A 19,980-nucleotide genomic window follows, 5' to 3' on the forward strand; every position below is an offset into this window, starting at 1 on the left:
TATTCTTCTCCTCTTCTTTTGCAGAGGTATTAGAGTTTGCTCTTTTCTTTTTAATCATTTTGAGCTTCAGTGGTCTTTGTCTTGAAAAATTAGATCCAAAGCCCTTGCTCAGCATCCATTTGAGTACCAGGAGAGGTTTCAGGTCCAGAGTCAGAGGGCAGACTGGAAGAACAGGCTGAAGCCTGACAATATCTGGAGCTCAACAGTAAGATAGTGGCATTCCACTTCCCACTCCCGCCTTCTAAGTGTGGATTAATGCAGACAACCCTAGCCATTGTCAGGACTTAGCAATATAACCCAAGGTGTATGAGGAAGCAGTCAGCAGAGTTAGCAGTACTGCAAGATGGACCACAGCAGATTTCTGATGCTTTTACTGGATAACACAATGTTAAAGAAGATTGGGTCATATAAACTTATTTTTAAAACAAATGTACAATCTGAGAAATAAAAACAAGCAAATAAAACCATCTGAGCTGTTCAACTGAATAGAGATAATGAGATTCTTATGCTAAGGCAAAAGAAAGGGCAACTCCAGAAACTATTTTTGCCTCAGATAAAGCATGAGTTTTAAGGCTGCTTTGTGGGCTGTAAATATATTAAAATAAACATACCAAAGTGACAGACTTCTGGGGAGTTGAGCTTCTCCAACATTAGCTTTATGACAAGTTCATCTGGAATGCTTTGACCGCTGATCAACATTGATTGCAACTAAGGACAAGCATAGATATTGTACATTACTGTATAATATATCTATGATACAGAGCTTTTTTTGTAATCATAGTTACTTTGAAATTTAGGTTTGTTTACCATAACTCCTGATTCGGTTTCAGCAGCAATCTGTTCTTCTAAAATTGGCAAAGCTAAAACATGAATTCAAAATATTAATACAGACTGATATTAAGATCACCAAAATAAGAAACACATTCTAGTGTCTTGTAACTGGTAACAAAGATTAACATTTGTGCATCACTTTATAATTTACAATGCAAATGTATGCATATTACTTCACTTAAGCCTAACCAAAGCAGAAGCAGCAGAATGTCTTCCATAGAGAACTTGTCTCTGCCACTTACTAAGCTTAAGAATCTTGGAGAAGCGAACATGGTGACTCATGTCTGCAATCCCAGTACTTTGGGAGTTCAAGGCAGGAGGATTGCTTGAGCCCAGAAGTTTGAGACCAGCCTAGGCAACATAGGGAGACTACATTCCTACAAAAAGTTAAAAAATTAGCAGGGCATAGTTATGGTGCATGCCTATAGTCCCTGCTACTCAGGAAGCTGACGTGGGGTGATCACTTGAGCCCAGGAGGTCAAGTTTGCAGAGAGCCGTGATCATGTCACTGCACTCCAGCCTGGATGACAAAGTGAGGGCGTGTCTCAAAATAAAAATAAAAAATAAAAAAATAAAGAATCCTGGGGGAGTTAACTCTGTAAACGCCTCTGCACCTTGGATGCATATGTACTGTGTAGTGTACAATAGAACGTAAGGATGAAATCAGGTGGTGTATATGACAGTGATTTCTAAATCATTTAGTTACAAAAGTATGCACTGGTATTAATTAATCCAGATTTTCATAACCATACAATTACATCCAAAGCCTGCTAGTTTTGCACATGGTGTAAAAGGAAATGAATCAAGAAATGTTAAAATGGGTAAACACTGATTAGAAAGAGGGGTCTTGAGGCTGAAATTCCAATGATTTATTTCCTTTAAAAGAGGAAATGTATCATTCCTTGATAGAGGACATCCTGGGATAGGAATGACAGGGGCATGACCCAGGGGAGGACCCAGGAGAGTTGTTATATCATTAGTTATTAATAATCTATGGGATGTTTGGTATTCTTTAAGATTTCCTAGAAGTAAACTTTTTGAACAAAGAAAGAAGAAACTTTTAGAGTTGTGTGTGTGTGTGAGTGTGTGTGTGTTATGTATTACAAATTGTTCTCCAAAAAAATTGTACCAGATTGCAACTTTACTAACAGCATGTGGAATGCCCATTTCATAACATCCTTACCTACAGTGATTGTAGTAATTGTAAAGATTCACTGCCAATTTGATAGGCAAATATGGACCAGTGTTATGTTGATTAACATTTCTTAGAATGATGTTAAACTCTCTTTTCTTATATTGTTTATTTTTATTTCTACTTTTATGAATTGCCTATTCATTCTTTTTCTTATTTTTCTATTAGGGCATAAATAGTTTTATTAATTAAAAGAATATTTATATATAAAGATATCAACCCATTCTCTTATATATTGCAAAGAATGCAAGAAAATTTATAAATAAAAAATAAAAGTTATCATTGAAGACAATTAAGTTCTGAAAAATGTTCCTAAGAAAAGCTGTGAGAGTTCCATCTCATTTGAGCTTTCATAAAAAGACACCCAAACACACATATCCCAAACAGTTCTAAATTACGAATAGAGAATTGGAGGTAGTAGAATAGAGTTGATGACATTTCATAAATGCTATGAACAAAACTAGGACAAACAGAAGGGCAAAACATTATTGGATTGATAATGCTGTTATAAAAATAATATTGGGCCGGGTGTTGTGGCTCACACCTGTAATCTAGTACTTTGGGAGGCCAAGGTGGGAAGACTGTTTGAGCCCAGGAGTTTGAAACCAGCCTGGGCAACAAAGCAAGACCATGTCTCTACAAAAAAAAAAAATAATAATTAATTAAATTAAATATAAATAAAAACCCAAGCAGATAATATTCACTGGGTTGATAGGTGGACAAATGTGTGATAAAGCAAATATAGCAAAACGTTAATCACAGACTCTAGATGGTGAGTATATGGGCATTCACTGTATAATTATCTCCATTTTATGAATATTTGAAAGTTTTCATAATAAAATATTAGAGAAAAAAGATAAAATTTACCTTCAACACGAATACATTTCCATGCCTGTGTTATGTAACGGGCTAATGTTGTTTTCCCAACACCCTTAAAAAGAAAAATGTTATTTAAAGCCCAATAGAACAGTTACTTGCCAGTGACACAGATACAGCAATTTTTAAAGATTCTATTGCTAGTTACTATTACATCAATGTTATAATTTTTCCCATAAAAAATGAAGAATAGACCCTAGATACGTATAGTTTAGTTTTTCTTTACTAATTTTTGCATATGTCACATCTCCTAAAGTAATATAAATAAACTTTTTAATATTAAGTACATAGCCCTAAAATCAAGAAGCTATACCATTATGGTACTGCACAATTTTAACTGTCAATTTTTATAATTTTGATTACAAATCATTGTGATTATATTGGAGAGTCATCATTTTATTTCCTTTCTAAAGTTCATAATCATGAATGTTTTGACAGGCTTCCATTTAGTAATTTTGATGAGCAAAAAGATCCTTTTTAACTGACATCTTTGGAAAGTATCATACTTTAAAGATAAAAGGTCGTTTTGATGAAGTAACATTTGTGTCTGGTTGCTTTCACTGTTGACTTTTTAAAACCCATTATGTTTTTAGAAACATAGTGAAAGTTGTTGAAACCATTTATTGGTACCTGTCCCAGGGTCCATGTAAAGTAAGTCAAGGATGGGATCCAGCTCTTAATCTCTGCTATTCTGGAGAGGCTCTTTAATCAACCAGCTCAGTGGCTGTCAGTAGCTTTTATCTAGAGTTTCTTACTAGAAATGTCTAGAAAAGCAAACTTTATTATAATAGCCATTTTGGTGTCTTTCTGATTTGTGGAAAGTCAACACATAGGTCCCCTAACATGCTGTAGGTAAAGCCTGAGGCATGGTGCCTCTCAGGATCTCAGATATTAACAGGAGAACCTCCTGGCTCATCTTGATGGTGTCCTATCTTCACATATCCACAGAGCCTCAAAACAAATTGCATAGGAAGTTTCATATGCAAATCAAGTCTGAAATAACCTCAGATTACACACTACTAACAGTTGTCATGTGCAGTGTTTTGGTAAGTTAATTTCATCATAATATAAAAGCAAATTTAAATATAGTCTGGGTTCCTTCTCAATTATAACATATAACATAGTATTGCGGTATATATGTACCACATCTTCTTTATCTAGTCTACCACTGATGGGCATTTAGGTTGATTCCATGTCTTTGCTGTTGTGAGTAGTGTTGCGATGAGCATATGTGTGCATGTGTGCAAGAGATAGTTATGAATTTATAACCAATATTATGGCAGATTTTAAGTCATATAATAAAAGCTTATCAGACACTCAAAAAATGAGCACAATATGTGGTTTTTATTTTTATATGGTAACTTAGAAAATTGTGATTTTAAAAATAAAAAAAATTATACCAAATAATAAGAGATAACTTACTGGTTTCCCAAATACAACAAAGCAAACAGGTTTGGACAACAAAAAATTCCTTTCAGTTTCATCTTCATCAAATATATCTGCAAAAGGATACTCTTCTGTCTTCTCTTGAGAAGTCATGACACAAAATACTACAATAAAAAAGGGTAAGATTGTTAACTTGTCTAATTTGGTTGGATGAGGTGACTAGGAACAATTGAAATAACCTGTGAGTTTTCTTAGCCCAGAAGTCATTTTGTACCATTAAACACATGAATTTTGTCAGTAATTGCAAATAAGTTTAACTCATTTATAAAAACAATAGTAAGCTCTTAGTTTGAGACAAAAACAAAATCCAACTATATGTTGTATAAAAGAGAGCTCAAAGTGTTTCTGAAAGACTAACTTGAGGAAAAAATACAGATTTGTGTGTATTATATTAAAAACCAAATTAAAGTTAAATATGTTGTACATGCACATGCAACATAGGTGCATGTATAAATTTTACCAGAAATAGAAAAGGTAATGTTGGCTAAATGTATTAGATTCATATTTTCATATTTTAGGAAGCTTTGGTTAATTCCATGAAGAAAACTTTTCCAAAAGTAATGTCATTTTTACATTTTTTCTTTTGTAATATTTTATAAATATCTGTAAGAACATATATTTATTTTAAAGTTGTTTTCAGAAACCTTTTGCTATTTTGATTTGCTCTTAAGCGGATTTCTAGGCACAGAAGCTTGAGTCCTCAGTATTTTAACATGAACAGTTTTCAACTTAGTCCAACTCTTTTGGAGTCAATCAGAAACAAATAAGGTCACAACAGTTTATTTGTTTTTGAACAAAGACTGTCTCTTGTTTTCAAGCACTTGTAGACTACATATTTATGTTCATAAAATATTTATATATATCCATCGAATATTTCTATTATGTAAACAGTAAAATAGCATGAGACATATCTCTTGATCACGATAAAATAATGAAAAAAATAGTGATAAAAGTATTTTTAAAAATCCCTAATTGTTGAAAATTAAAAAGAAAAATGAAAACAATATTCTTCTAAATATTACTTGATCAATACAATTTTAAAATGGAAATAAAATATTAGCAAAATAATAGTATTATTAAATATTTAGTTAAAATGATATAGCAAAAAGTAACAAGATCATGTCCTTTGCACACATGCACACATATGCTCATCACAACACTACTCACAACAGCAAAGACATGGAATCAACCTCAATGCCCATCAGTGGTAGACTAGATAAAGAAGATGTGGTACATATATATCAGAATACTATGCAGCCATGAAAAATAAGATCATGTCCTTTGCAGCAACATGGATGAAGCTGGAAGCCATTATCCTAAGCAAACTAATGCAAGAACAGAAAAGCAAATACTACATGTTCTCACTTATACGTGGGAACTAAACATCAAGTACACAAGGACACAAAGAATGGAACAACTGATACTAAGGCCTACTTGAGGGTAGAGGGTAGGATGAGGAAGAGGATACAAAAAACTACCTATTGGGTACTATGCTTATTATCTGAGTGATGAAATAATCTGTGCACCAAACTCCTATGACATGCAATTTACCTATATAGTAAACCTGCACATGTACCCCGAACCTAAAAGTTAAAAAATAAAATAAAATGATATAGCAAAAATATTTTTTAAAAATAGTAATTTTCTTTCAGACCAACACTAATAACAACAAAAACTCATAATTGCACAAATCTATAAAAAGGTATGAATAATTTTAGTAAAAATGTGCATTAGTGATATATCATGTGCACTAACTATAACATTTTGCTGATGAACACTAAAGAAGAAAAAACCATAATATATTTTTGGGCGAAAGGATTTAATTTGTAAAGATATCTATTATGTTCAAATTAATACATAAAATTAAGAGTCTGTGTGTGTGTGATGTGTGTGTGAAGAGCCATGCATGCAGGAGTCCTAGCCCTGCTAAATATATACATGCCTAAAATATGATAAAGGAGGCATTTAAAATTGGTGAATAAAAAATAAATTGTTTAGAATAATTGGCTATGCATAAATAACTATCAAAGGTCAACAGAATTCTTTTCACTGAGTTTAAAAAAGTCAACAGGAAAAAAATATCATGATCCAATTGGAAAATGCCCAAAATATCTGAAGAGACATTTCATCAAAGAAGATATACAGATGACAAACACATGAAAAGATGTTAAAAATCACTAGCCATTAGAGAAATGCAATTAAAATAATAATCAGATAATATTACATGTATATCAGAATGGCTAAAATAAAAAATAGTGACAACACCAGATGTTGGTGAGGATGCAGAGAAACTGGATCCCTCATACATTGCTGGTGGGAATATAAAATGGTATAGTCTGGAAAATATTTGGAAGTTTCTTAAAAAACTAAACATGCAACTACATATGACTAGCCATTGCACTTTTTGGCATTTATCTCAAAGAAAAGGAAATTAATGTTCACGTAAAAACATATACATTAATGTTCATCACAGCTTTATTCAAAATAGTCAAAAGCTGAAAACAACCCAGATGTTCTTCAAAAGGTGAACAATTAAGCAAACTGTGGTACATCCATACCATGGAATATGATAATAATAAAAATGAATAAACTATTGATACATGCAGCAACGTGTATCAATCTCTAAAGAATTAAACAGAGCAAAACAACAACAAAAGTCAATCCCACAGTTTACATATTGTCTTATTTATGTAACATTCTTGAAATGACAAAAATATAGAAATAGAGAACAAATTAATGGTTGCCACGGGTTAGCAGGGAGTAGAGCAGAAAGGAAGTGGGTATGACTATATATGGGCAACATATGGAATGGAAACGTTCTCTATCTTGACTGTATCAATGTCAATACTATAGTTTTGCAAAATATTATCATAAGAGAAATAAAGGCACAAGATTCCTCTATATTATTTCTTACAACTCCATGTAAATCTACAGTTATCTCAAAATGAAAAGTTTGACTAAAAAATATTAACTAGTTGCCGCCCCCCAAAAAAGATTAATGCGGGAGGCTGGCAAGATAGCTGAATAGGAACAGCTCTGGTCTGCAGCTCCCAGCGAGATCAACACAGAAGGTGGGTGATTTCTGCATTTGCAACTGAGGTACCCAGCTCATCTCACTGGGACTGGTTAGACAGTGGATGCAGCTCATGGAGGGTAAGCTGAAGCGGGGTGAGGCATCGCCTCACCCAGGGAGTGCAAGGGGTCGGGGAACTCCCTCCCCTAGCCAAGGGAAGCCGTGAGGGACTGTGCCATGAGGAACGGTGCACTCTGGCCCAGATACTATGCTTTTCTCACAGTCTTCACAACCCGCAGACCAGGAGATTCCCTCTGATGCCTACGCCACCAGGGCCCTGGGTTTCAAGCACAAAATTGGGCAGCTGTTTGAGCAGACACCAAGCTAGCTGCAGGAGTTTTTTTCATATCCCAGTGGCGCCTGGAACGCCAGCGAGACAGAACTGTTCACTCCCCTGGAAAGGGGGCTGAAGCCAGGGAGCCAAGTGGTCTAGCTCAGCGGATCCCACCCCCACAGAACCCAGCAAGCTAAGATCCACTGGCTTGAAATTCTCGCTGCCAGCACCGCAGTCTGAAGTGACCTGGGATGCTGGAGCCTGGCTGGGGGAGGGGAGTCTGCCATTACTGAGGCTTGAGTAGGTGATTTTCCCCTCACAGTGTAAACAAAGCCTTGGGGAAGTTCCCTCCTCCCACCCCCGCAGCTCAGCAAAGCCTCTGTAGCCAGACTGCCTCTCTAGATTCCTCCTCTCTAGGCAGGGTATCTCTGAAAAAAAAAGGCAGCAGCCCCAGTCAGGGGCTTATAGATAAAATTCCTATCTCCCTGGGACAGAGCACCTGGGGGAAGGGGTGGCTGTGCGCACAGCTTCAGCAGACTTAAACATCCCTGCCTGCCAGCTCTGAAGAGAGCAGGGGATCTCCTAGCACAGTGCTTGAGCTCTGCTAAGGGTCAGACTGCCTCCTGAAGTGGGTCCCTGACCCCCATGTCTCCTGACTGGGAGACACCTCCCAGCAGGGGCCGACAGACACCTCATACAGGAGAGCTCCCGCTGGCATCTGGCAGGTGCCCCTCTGGGACAAAGCTTTCAGAGGAAGGAACAGGCAGCAATTTTTGCTGTTCTACAGCCTCTGTTGGTGATACCCAGGAAAACAGAGTCTAGAGTGGACCTCCAGCAAACTCCAGCAGAACTGTAGCAGAGGGACCTGACTGTTAGAAGGAAAACTAACAGAAAAGAATGGCATCAATATCAACAAAAAGGACGTCCACTCAGAAACCCCATCCGAAGGTCACCAACATCAAAGACCAAAGGTAGATAAATCCACAAAGATGGGGAGAAACCAGCGCAAAAAGGCTGACACTTCCAAAAACCAGAATGCCTCTTCTCCTCCACAGGATCACAACTCCTTGCCAGCATGGGAACAAAACTGGACAGAGAATAAGTTTGATGAACTGACAGAAGTAGGTTTCAGAAGGTGGATAATAACAAACTCCTCCGAGCTAAAGGAGCATGTTCTAACCCAACTCAAGGAAGCTAAGAACCTTGATAAAAGGTTAGATGAATTGCTAACTAGAATAACCAGTGTAGAGAAGAACATAAATGACCTGACAGAGCTGAAAAACACAGCACAAGAACTTCATGAAGCATACACAAGTTTCAATAGCCGAATCGATCAAGTGGAAGAAAGCATATCAGTGACTGAAGATCAACTTAATGAAATAAAGATAGAAGACAAGATTAGAGAAAAAAGAATAAAAAGGAACAAACAAAGCCTCCAAGAAATATGGGACTATGTGAAAAGACCAAATCTACATTTGGTTGGTGTACCTGAAAGTGATGAGGAGAATGGAATCAAGTTGGAAAACACTCTTCAGTACATTATCCAGGATAACTTCCCCAACCTAGCAAGGCAGGCCAACATTCAAATTCAGGAAATACAGAGAACACCATGAAGATATCCCTTGAGAAGAGCAACCCCAAGACACATAATCGTCAGATTCACCAAGGTTGAAATGAAGGAAAAAATGTTAAGGGTAGCCAGAGAAAAAGCTTGGGTTACCCACAAAGGGAAGCCCATCAGACTAACAGTGGATCTCTGCAGAAACCCTACAAGCCAGAAGAGAGTGGGGGCCAATATTCAACATTCTTAAAGAAAAGAATTTTCAACGCAGAATTTCATATCCAGCCAAACTAAGCTTCATAAGTGAAGGAGAAATAAAATCCTTTACAGACAAGCAAATGCTGAGAGATTTTGTCAAAACGAGGCTTCCAAGAGCTCCTGAAGGAGGCACTAAACGTGGAAAGGAACAACTGGTACCAGCCACTGAAAAACATACCAAATTGTAAAGAACATCGACACTATGAAGAAACTGCATCAACTAATGGGCAAAACAGCCGGCTAGCATCATAGTGACAGGATCAAATTCACACATAACAATATTAACCTTAAAGTAAATGGGCTAAATGCCCTGATTAAAAGACACAGACTGGCAAACTGGATAAAGAGTCAAGACCCATCAGTGTGCTACATTCAGGAGACCCATCTCACATGCAAAGACAAACATAGGTGCAAAATAAAGGGATGGAGGAATATTTACCAAGCAAATGGAAAGCAAAAAAGGCAGGAGTTGCAATCCTAATCTCTGATAAAACAGATTTGAAACCAACAAAGATCAAAAGAGACAAAGAAGGTCATTACACAGTGGTAAAGGGATCAATGCAGCAAGAAGAGCTAACTATACTAAATATATATGCACCCAATATAGGAGCACCCAGATTCATAAAGCAAGTTCTTAGAGACCTACAGAGAGACTTAGACTCCCACACAATAATAATGGGAGACTTTAACACCCCATTGTCAATACTAGACAGATCAATGAGACAGAAAATTAATAATGATATTCAGGACTTGAACTCAGCTCTGGACCAAGCAGACCTAATAGACATCTACAGAACTGTCCACCCCAAATCAACAGAATATACATTCTTCTCAGCACCTCACTGCACTTATTCTAAAATTGACCACATAATTGGAAGTAAAACACTCCTCAGTAAATGCAAAAGAACAGAAATCATAACAGTCTCTCAGACCACAGTGCAATCAAATTAGAACTCAGGATTAAGAAACTCACTCAAAGCCACACAACTAGATGGAAACTAACCTGCTCCTGAATGACTACTGGGTAAATAATGAAATTAAGGCAGAGATAAAGATGTTCTTTGAAACCAATGAGAATGAAGACACAACGTATGAGAATCTCTGGGACACATTTAAAGCAGTGTGTAGAGGGAAATTTATAGCACTAAATGCCCACAAGAGAAAGCAGGAAAGATCTAAAATTGACACCCTAACATCACAATTAAAAGAACTAGAGAAGCAACAGTAAACAAATTAAAAATCTACAGAAGACAAGAAATAACTAAGATGAGAGCAGAACTGAAAGAGATAGAGACACGACAAACCCTTCAAAAAATCAATGAATTGGCTGGGCATGGTGGCTCATGCCTGTAATCCCAGCACTTTGGGAGGCCTAGGTGGGCGGATCACAAGGTCAGGAGATCAAGACCATCCTGGCTAACAGGGTGAAACCCCATCTCTACTAAAAAAATACAAAAAATTAGCCAGGCGTGGTGGCGGGTGCCTGTAGTCCCAGCCACTTGGGAGGCTGAGGCAGGAGAATGGCGTGAACCCGGGAGGCGGAGCTTGCAGTGAGCCGAGATCGGGCCACTGCACTCCAGCCTGGGTGACAGAGCAAGACTCCGTCTCAAAAAAAAAAAAAAAAAATCAATGAATCCAGGAGCTGGTTTTTTGAAAAGATCAACAAAATATATGGACCACTAGCCAGACTAATAAAGAATAAAAGACAGAAGAATCAAATAGATGCAATAAAAAATGATATAGGGGATATCACCACTGATCCCACAGAAATACAAACTACCATCAGAGAATACCATAAACACCTCTCAGCAAATAAACTAGAAAATTTAGAAGAAATGGATAAATACCTGGACACATACACCCTCCCAAGTCTAAACCAGGAAAAATCGAATCCCTGAATAAACCAATAACAAGCTCTGAAATTGAGGCAGTGATTAATAGCCTACCAACCAAAAAAAGTCCAGGACTAGATGGATTCACAGCCGAATTCTACCAGAGGTACAAAAAGGAGCTGGTACCATTCCTTCTGAAACTATTCCAATCAATAGAAAAAGAGGGAATTCTCGCTAACTCATTTTATGAAGCCAGCATCATCCTGATACCAAAACCTGGGAGAGACACAACAAAAAAAGAAAATTTCAGGCCAATATCCCTGATGAACATCAATGCAAAAATCCTCAATAAAATGCTGGCAAACTGAATGCAGCAGCACATCAAAAAGCTTATCCACCACAATCAAGTCAGCTTTATCCCTGGGATGCAAGGCTGGTTCAACATATGCAAATCAATAAATGTAATCCATCACATAAATAGAACCAATGACAAAACCACATGATTATCTCAATAGATGCAGAAAATGCCTTCAACAAAATTCAACACCTCATTCACGCTAAAAACTCTCAATAAACTAGGTATCAATGGAACGTATCTCAAAATAATAAGAGCTATTTATGACAAGCCCACAGCCAATATCATATTGAATGGGCAAAAACTGGAAGCATTTTCTTTGAAAACTGGCACAAAACAAGGATGCCCACTCTCACCACTCCTATTCAACACAGTATTGGAAGTTCTGGCCAGGGCAATCAGGCAAGAGAAAGAAATAAAGGGTATTCAAATAGGGAGAGAGGAAGTCAAATTGTCTCTGTTTGCAGAGGACATGATTGTATATTTAGAAAACCCCATTGTCTCAGCCCAAAATCTCCTTAAGCTGATAAGCAACTTCAGCAAAGTCTCAGGATACAAAATCGATGTGCAAAAATCACAAGCATTCCTGTACACCAATAACAGACAAACAGAGGGCCAAATTATGAGTGAACTCCCATTCACAATTGCTACAAAGAGAATAAAATACCTAGGAATACAACTTACAAGAAATGTGAAGGACTTCTTCAAGGAGAATTACAAACCACTGCTCAAGGAAATAGGAGAGGACACAAACAAATGGAAAAACATTCCATGCTCATGGATAGGAAGAATCATATTGTGAAAATGGCCATACTTCCCAAAGTAATTTATAGATTCAATGCTATCCCCATCAAGCTACCACTGACTTTCTTCATGGAATTGGGAAAAACTACTTTAAACTTCATGTGGAACCAAAAAGGAGCTCTCATAGCCAAGACAATCCTAAGCAATAAGAACAAAGCTGGAGGCATCACGCTACCTGACTTCAAACTATACTACAAGGCTACAGTAACTAAAACAGCATGGTACTGGTACCAAAACAGATACATAGACCAATGGAACAGAACAGAGGCCTCAGAAATAACACCACACATCTACAACCATCTGATCTTTGACAAACCTGACACAAAAAGCAATGGGGAAAAGATTCCCTATTTAAAAAATGGTGTTGGGAAAGCTGGCTAGTCAAATGGAGAAAACTGAAATTGGACCCCTTCCTTATACTTGATACAAAAATTAACTCAAGATGGATGAAAGACTTAAACGTAAGACCCAGGACCATAAAAATCCTAGAAGAAAACCTGCGCAATACCATTAAGGACATAGGCACGGGCAAAGACTTCATGACTAAAATACCAAAAGCAATGGCAACAAAAGCCAAAATTGACAAATGGGATCTAATTAAATTAAAGAGGTTCTGCACAGCAAAAGAAACTACCATCAGAGTGAACAGGCAACCTACAGAATGGGAGAAAATTGTTGCAATCTATCCCTCTGACAAAGGGCTAATATCCAGAATCTACAAAGAACTTAAACAAACTTACAAGAAAAAAAAACAAACAACCCCATCAAAAAGTAGGCAAAGGAGGCCGGGCGCGGTGGCTCACGCCTGTAATCCCAGCACTTTGGGAGGCCGAGGCGGGCGGATCACGAGGTCAGGAGATTGAGACCATCCCGGCTAAAATGGTGAAACCCCGTCTCTACTAAAAATACAAAAAATTAGCCGGGCGTAGTGGCGGGCGCCTGTAGTCCCAGCTACTTGGGAGGCTGAGGCAGGAGAATGGCGTGAACCCGGGAGGCAGAGCTTGCAGTGAGCCGAGATCCCGCCACTGCACTCCAGCCTGGGCGACAGAGTGAGACTCCGTCTCAAAAAAAAAAAAAAAAAAAAAAAAAAAAAAAAAAAAAAAGTAGGCAAAGGATATGAACAGACACTTCTCAAAAGAAGACATTTATGCAGCCAACAGACATATGGAAAAAATGCTCATCATCACTGGTCATTGGAGAAACGCAAAACCACAATGAGATACCATCTCACACCAGTTAGAATGGCAATCATTAAAAAGTCAGGAAACAACAGATGCTGGAGGGGATGTGGAGAAATAGAGACGCTTTTACACTGTTGGTGGGAGTGTAAATTAGTTCAACCATTGTGGAAGACAGTGTGGCGATTCCTCAAGGATCTAGAACCAGAAATACCATTTGACCCAGTAATCTCATTACTGGGTATATACCCAAAGGATTAGAAATCATTCTACTATAAAGACACATGCACACATATGTTTACTGCAGCACTATTTACTACAGAAAAGACTTAGAGCCAACCTAAATGTCCATCAATAATAGATTGGATAAAGAAAATGTGGCATATATACACCATGGAATACTATGCAGCCATAAAAAATGATGAATTCACATCCTTTGCAGGGACATGGATGAAGCTGGAAACCATCATTCTCAGCAAACTATCACAAGAACAGAAAACCAAACACTGCATGTTCTCACTCATAAGTGGGAGTTGAAAAATGAGAACACATGGACGTAGGGAGGGGAACATCACACACTGGGGCCTTTCGGGGGTGGGGGGCTATGGGAGGGATAACACTAGGAGAAATACCTAACGTAGGTGATGGGTTGATGGGTGCAGCAAACCACCATGGCATATGTATACCTATGTAACAAAACTGCACGTTCTGCACATGTACCCCAGAACTTAAAATATAATAATAAAAAAAGAAAAAGAAAAGGCCAAGTGGAAGCTCATGACATTGCATACTGGGTCCTCCACCCCTGGGCAAGATAACCAAGAGTAAATCATTCTGAATGAAGAGTGATACCAACCACAATTTAAAAGATGTACAATCCTGCTTATTTCTCCAGTCTTGCTTTTGTAGAAGCTAGACAGAGCACAACAGATGAGGGTAGACTTCTGCAAATTTAACAAGCTGGTAGTCCCAGTTGCAACTGCTGTGCAGATGGGATCTTTACTAGATAGACACAGTCTCTTGTATTTTTTACGCAGCTGATGATCTGGCAATGTGTGCATCCTTTTCAATCCCTATCAAGAAAGAGGATCGGAAGCAATTTGTATTCACTTAGAGCAGTGACAGTGAACATCCAGTCTTACCCAAGGACTCTCCTGCTGTTTGAGACAATATAGTATAAAGGGGTCTTGATCCACAATATTGACAATATCAGACCTAGTGAGCAGGAAGTTGCAAGTGTCCCGGATCCCCTTATAAAGACACATGAGCAGTAAGTATAAAGTGAGAGATAAACCTACAAAGTTTGAAGGTCTTATTACTTTGGTAAAGTTTTAAAAGGCCAGTGGTCTGGGACATTCTGTCCAAGGTAAAGGATGAGTTACTGTACCTTGTACCTTCAACCTCTAAAAAAGAGGCACAGTATTTTGCAGGCCTCTTTAGTTTTCAAAGAGAGCATAAAGCGCACTAAAGAATACTGTTTTGACCCATTTAGTGGGTGACATGGAAAGCTGTCATTTTTGAGTGGGGCACACAGCAAGAAAGAGCTCTGTAGTTTTAGGTTGTAGTACCAGAGGCTTTGCTTCCTGGGCCATACATCTGGCTAGATCCCACAATACTAAAGGTCCCACAATGCTGTGGTATGTAAGGATACCTTCTGGAGTCTTAGGAAAGCCACAACAGGAGCCTCTCTCTGTAGATCCTTGCTGTCTGCAGCAGAGAATAATTCCCCATTCAAAAAACAGCTCTTGGCATGCTCTTGGGCTCTGGTAGAGAATGAATGCCTGGTCATGGGATATCAAGTGACTATGCAACTGGAAGTATCCACTATGAGCTGGTTATGTCAGACAAGTCAAGTCCTAAAGTCAGGCAGGCACTGCAGCAACCCATTAAATGATAAAAATGGAACAATGGGATCAGGCTCAAACAGGTCTTCAGGGCACAAATAAATTTCAAAAATAAGCAGCCCAGATGCCCATGTCACCTGTCTCATGCACCAATGTCTCTTTCAGCTCACACCTCATGTGGAATTCCCTAAGAAGAGCTGACAGAAAATGAAAACAAAATTCATGGATGAATCACAATATACTGGTAAAAGCTGTAAATGTAATGCTTCCAGACATGAGTTCCTCTCACAAGTGGCCCTGAAAAATGGTGATTAGGGGAAATCTTCCTGGCAGGCAGAGCTTTAAGCAGTATTCCTAGGCCCTCAATTTGGAGGACAATGCGGATTGGTTTCATCAAGGGCCTAGAAGGTACAAGATCAGAAGGTAAGAGAAAAAGAGTTCTGGGGAAGAAGCATGTGATTGGGCCTATGAGGGTGGTGTAGCAAACACACCCTAATCTGACCTCCAGTGAGTCACACCCTTGCATAATCCTCTTCCTTTGAGTGGGAGTGGGGTCTGTAACTTGCTTCTAAATAGAGCAAAGGTGACAGAATGTCTGTCTCATGAATATGCTACATGGTATAAGACTCCATTTTAGGGGACTGGAGGGAGACTTTCTGTTGGCTTGGAAGAAGTAAGCTGCCATGTTGTGAGAGGACCACGTGATGAGGAAGAGTGGGTGGCATGTGAGTGCAGCCCCTGCCAACAGCTGGTAAGAAAACAGTGACCTCAGTCCTACAACCACAAAACGATGATGCTTGCCAACAATGTGAATCAGCTTGGGAGTGGATTCTTCCCTAGTCAAGTCTCCAGATGGAAGCACATCTCAGCCAACACCAGATTGCAGCCTTGTAAAACCCTGAGCAGAGGACCCAGGTGAGTGATGCCAGGGCTCCTGGCCATGGAAACCGTGCGATCACAAATGTGTGTTGTTTTAAGCTGCTAAATTTGCAGTAATTTGCTATGCAGCATAGAAAACTAATGTAAGTGGATGTAAAATACATAGATATTTGTATCTCAGAAAGCATCCACCTCAGAAGAGGCACTGAAAAAACCAGGTGGACAGGATAATTTATCCAGTAGACATGAGCCAATCTTTGCTTCTGGTCACCTCAATGCTTGCATAATGGGTTTGTAAATGAAGTAGGCATGGTGGCAGGGATGAAGGTGATGAAGGATAGGCATGGGCTCATATCAAGGCCTCCTTTCACCAGGCTGGTTTAGCTACACTACTGCTGCTGAATGTTCTACCTGTTCATGGCAGAGACCTGTTCATATTAAGCCCTCAATACGGTACAACCCCTTTAGGAGACAAAACATTCATTCAGTGACAAATTGATTACAAATTGAGACCTGTTCATATTGAGCCCTCAATATGGTACAACCCCTTTAGGAGACAAAACATTCATTCAGTGACAAATTGATTACACAGGACCCCTTCACCTTTAAAGGGGCAAGTGACAAATGCTCCTAATATGGGCTTGTTTTTCCTACCTGCAGTGCCTTGGCCAGCACCACTACCTAAAGGTTTAGAGTATGTCTCATTTATCTTCATGAGATCTCATATACCATTGCCTTGGATCAGAGGACCCTTTTTACAATACCACTTTACCTAGAAGCTACTGGTTTGACAGAATGTTGGAATGGTCTCTTAAAGGCACAGCTAAGGCGCTAGCTTGGGATTGTGTGGGATTGAGACAATGTACTTCAAGATGAGGAACATGCTTTGAATCAAGGGCTGGAAGTAGGAGTGACCCCTCTCACTAATACTCTCAGTGATTGACTTGGGAAATTTGCACCTCACTTCTGGACAAGAGGTCCTGGGTCTGGTGGAGGGGAGAGATGGTTCTATCAGGGGACCCAGTAAAGGTTTCATTAAATCTTAAAACTACTGCTGCCACCTGGTCATTTTTGACTCCAAAAGCTCATAAGGAGTTATTGCACTGGCAGATGGAGATAGGGTTGCTGCTATGTGATTGGATGAGATTGGGGGTGCTCAGGGTGGTATGGCCATAAACTGCTAGATAAGTGGGATAGGGGATGCATTTCTTGAACTCAGGGGATTCTCTGAGACAGCTCTTGATGCTTTCATGTCCAGTGAATGGGTAATTGCAGCAACCAAAACCTTACAATGACACAGTAACCAAGGGCTTATGCTCCTCAGGGATGAAAGCTTGTTATCCTACTGGGCAAACACAGACCAGCAGAAGTGTTGGCCAAGAGTAAGGAAAATCTAGAATGATGTTAGAGGAAGGAGATGATCAATTAGAGACCTCAGATTAATTGCAGTAGTGGATTCTGCAGCTTGTCCCATTAATCTTTTTTTTTGTAAGTCCTTTTCTTTTAAAAATTGAGACTAGCCACTACCTTAAAGAATTAGGGTGGCATGGTGTGAACTTGATGTGGAGGAAGAATGGATACGAGTGCTGCAAAGGGTGGAATGTAGCAGCTGCTATTAGTGCCTCCCCCATATCCACTTGACATACACCTTTTCTATGCACGACCAGCCCAACTTCCAAAATGTTAGCATGTGCGACTTTTTGCCTAAGGGCTTTCTCTGGCTGCCAGAACCTACTCTCCCTGAACACAGGGTAGACTGGAAGTTCTAGGGCATCAATGTTCTGCCCTATCAGGCTTCATCCAATAACTGATGGAAGTTGGCGAATAAATACTCCAGCTTCCTTGCCCCTCAAGAGGGGATAACTGAGACATGCCTCCCAGTATTCCCTAGTGAATTCAGCCCACAGAGAAATTTCTCTGGTAATATTTCCTTTATTAGTTTTCTTCCCCTCCCTGCTGCTGTTTCCTGGGATTACGTCTCATATAAACAACCTGCCTTCAAAGTTTTGTCTTAGGATCTGATTCCGGGTGAAATAAACTAAGATAAAGTTAAAATGGAAGTGCTAAACTATAATAATTGAAAACTAGAATCCTTCAGGTATTTTAAGAGTTGCTATCCTAGATAAAAACACTGTGCAAACATTTAACTAATATTCAGAAGAGTTGGTTTCATTATGAAACAGAACACAGCTAACTATTTTTCCCAGTTAAAAGATCCAAGTCCAAAATGCCAGAACGGACACGGCCATCCTTCTAGTTCTTAATAAAAGGAGTACCAAACTACAGGGGGAAAGAAGCGCAAAATAACATAGACTTAAGTATTTCTTTACAATTTTTGTAATTTCTCAAATTTTAATTTACAATATGATCTTTGGTATTACATGAATGTTATCTGGGTATGCTATAATTCTATAATTTTTTTTTAAAGTTTCCTTACACTTAGCAGTTGAGAAGCCCTCTAGCAGAGGTTTCTGAGGTTTAGAGGTTTCCTGGGAAACCTAGAATTGCCGCCTAAGATAGGATAGCTGCCTCTCCCCTACATCTTATACTCTTGCAGTAGGTGTTCAGTAAATATTTGTGGAATAAATACTTCAGTCGTTGAAAGGAGACGTGGTTTTAAAAAGTGGATTTACAAAGAGACCGTTTTGCAAGAAAAGAAGCTGGTCTGGGGGTCCCCGCAGGAGGCGGGGTTCCGTGCAACAGATACCAAGATGCCTCCAGGGCGGACCACGACCCAGCGGGCCGCCGGAAGGCTCCTTACCTGGCCGCAGCCGGACCCTCCTCAGGGAAGCAACTGCCTCCAGGGACTCCGCGGGGCTGTCGGGCGGTTGCCGGGGAGACCTCTGGCCGCCACGCACCTGCTGCTTGGTGGGGCGGGGCCTCGAGAGGCGGGGCTGTAGTTCTTTGTCATTTCTTTTCCAATTCGAAATAGTCACTTTTGTACCTAATTTGGCATTTATAATTATAATACACTCATTTTCACAACTATGGAAGAGAGGGTACGCGCATGCCCATTTATGTCGCACACATGAAATGAAGAAACCTCATTTCAAGCGCGGCTCCGCCACACTGCGCTAGTCTCTGTCGACAACTTCAAGTGGCTAGCCTCACGCACAAACGTGTGGCAAAGCCACACTTTCCAGCTTTAGGTGATTTTAAAACAATTTCTTGGGCCACACAGCGTAGGTACAACATGGATTAGAGGTGAGGGGAAAACTGACACTCAGTGAAGGACCGTCAGAGGGCCGGCTTCCAGGAAAATGGGCCGCAGCAGGCAGGGAAAACACAAGGATCTATCCTGCAACTCGGAGAACCCTTTTCAAAAGAAGCTACCCAATCCCAAACCTTCCGCTTTTTTCCAAAGAGAGGGAGGAGATAAATAGACTCAATTAATCCGTCGACTTTTTCTCCGCCCATGTTTTCCTCCAATCCTTACCAAAGATGGTGCCCTTCGCTTCCTCTCTCGGCAGCACGCAGGTCCCGGGAGCCTCTACCCGACCTCTCTATGATACGTCCTCCAGCCCCGCTCCCGACGTGAGGGGCGGGGCTTGCCTGGAGGCGGGGCGCAGGGATCCGG

At 39.7% G+C, this 19,980-nt stretch overlaps 1 protein-coding gene across 21 annotated transcripts in view, besides 3 other annotated features; it reads right to left on the minus strand.

The window, feature by feature from the left end:
- Positions 1-19,895, minus strand: part of AK9 (adenylate kinase 9) — a 198,348-nt gene extending 178,453 nt beyond the window's left edge. For 11 of the 21 annotated variants that reach the window (XR_942337.3, XM_011535554.3, XM_006715376.4 and 8 more), the window contains exons 1-6: positions 19,165-19,895; positions 14,537-14,753; positions 4,322-4,449; positions 2,891-2,954; positions 808-860; positions 612-708 (exon numbers count right to left, since the gene is read on the minus strand). Coding sequence is in view for 19 of the 21 variants with exons in the window: in XM_011535554.3 (XP_011533856.1) it covers positions 612-708; positions 808-860; positions 2,891-2,954; positions 4,322-4,449; positions 14,537-14,741 (547 nt within the window). In the remaining 2 variants the exon portion in view is untranslated. Of the gene's footprint in view, positions 1-611; positions 709-807; positions 861-2,890; positions 2,955-4,321; positions 4,450-14,536 lie in introns of all 21 variants that reach the window. The other 10 variants (XM_047418304.1, NM_001145128.3, XM_011535552.3 and 7 more) reach the window with 3 other exon arrangements.
- Positions 7,882-8,563: an enhancer, noted in NCBI's record as "NANOG-H3K27ac-H3K4me1 hESC enhancer chr6:110000392-110001073 (GRCh37/hg19 assembly coordinates)". NCBI's record gives its function as "activates a minimal SCP1, AML or CMV promoter by ChIP-STARR-seq in primed H9 embryonic stem cells {active_cell/tissue: H9 hESC(primed)}" and the evidence as "EXISTENCE:reporter gene assay evidence [ECO:0000049][PMID:30033119]".
- Positions 15,706-15,906: a silencer, noted in NCBI's record as "peak6018 fragment used in MPRA reporter construct". NCBI's record gives its function as "represses an SCP1 promoter by STARR-seq MPRAs in K562 erythroleukemia cells {active_cell/tissue: K562}" and the evidence as "EXISTENCE:reporter gene assay evidence [ECO:0000049][PMID:32103011]".
- Positions 19,473-19,942: an enhancer, noted in NCBI's record as "active region_24931". NCBI's record gives its function as "activates an Ori minimal core promoter by ATAC-STARR-seq in GM12878 lymphoblastoid cells {active_cell/tissue: GM12878}" and the evidence as "EXISTENCE:reporter gene assay evidence [ECO:0000049][PMID:35858748]".

The sequence above is a fragment of the Homo sapiens genome, chromosome 6 (genome assembly GCF_000001405.40).
Source record: "Homo sapiens chromosome 6, GRCh38.p14 Primary Assembly".
Classification (NCBI taxonomy): domain Eukaryota; kingdom Metazoa; phylum Chordata; class Mammalia; order Primates; family Hominidae; genus Homo; species Homo sapiens.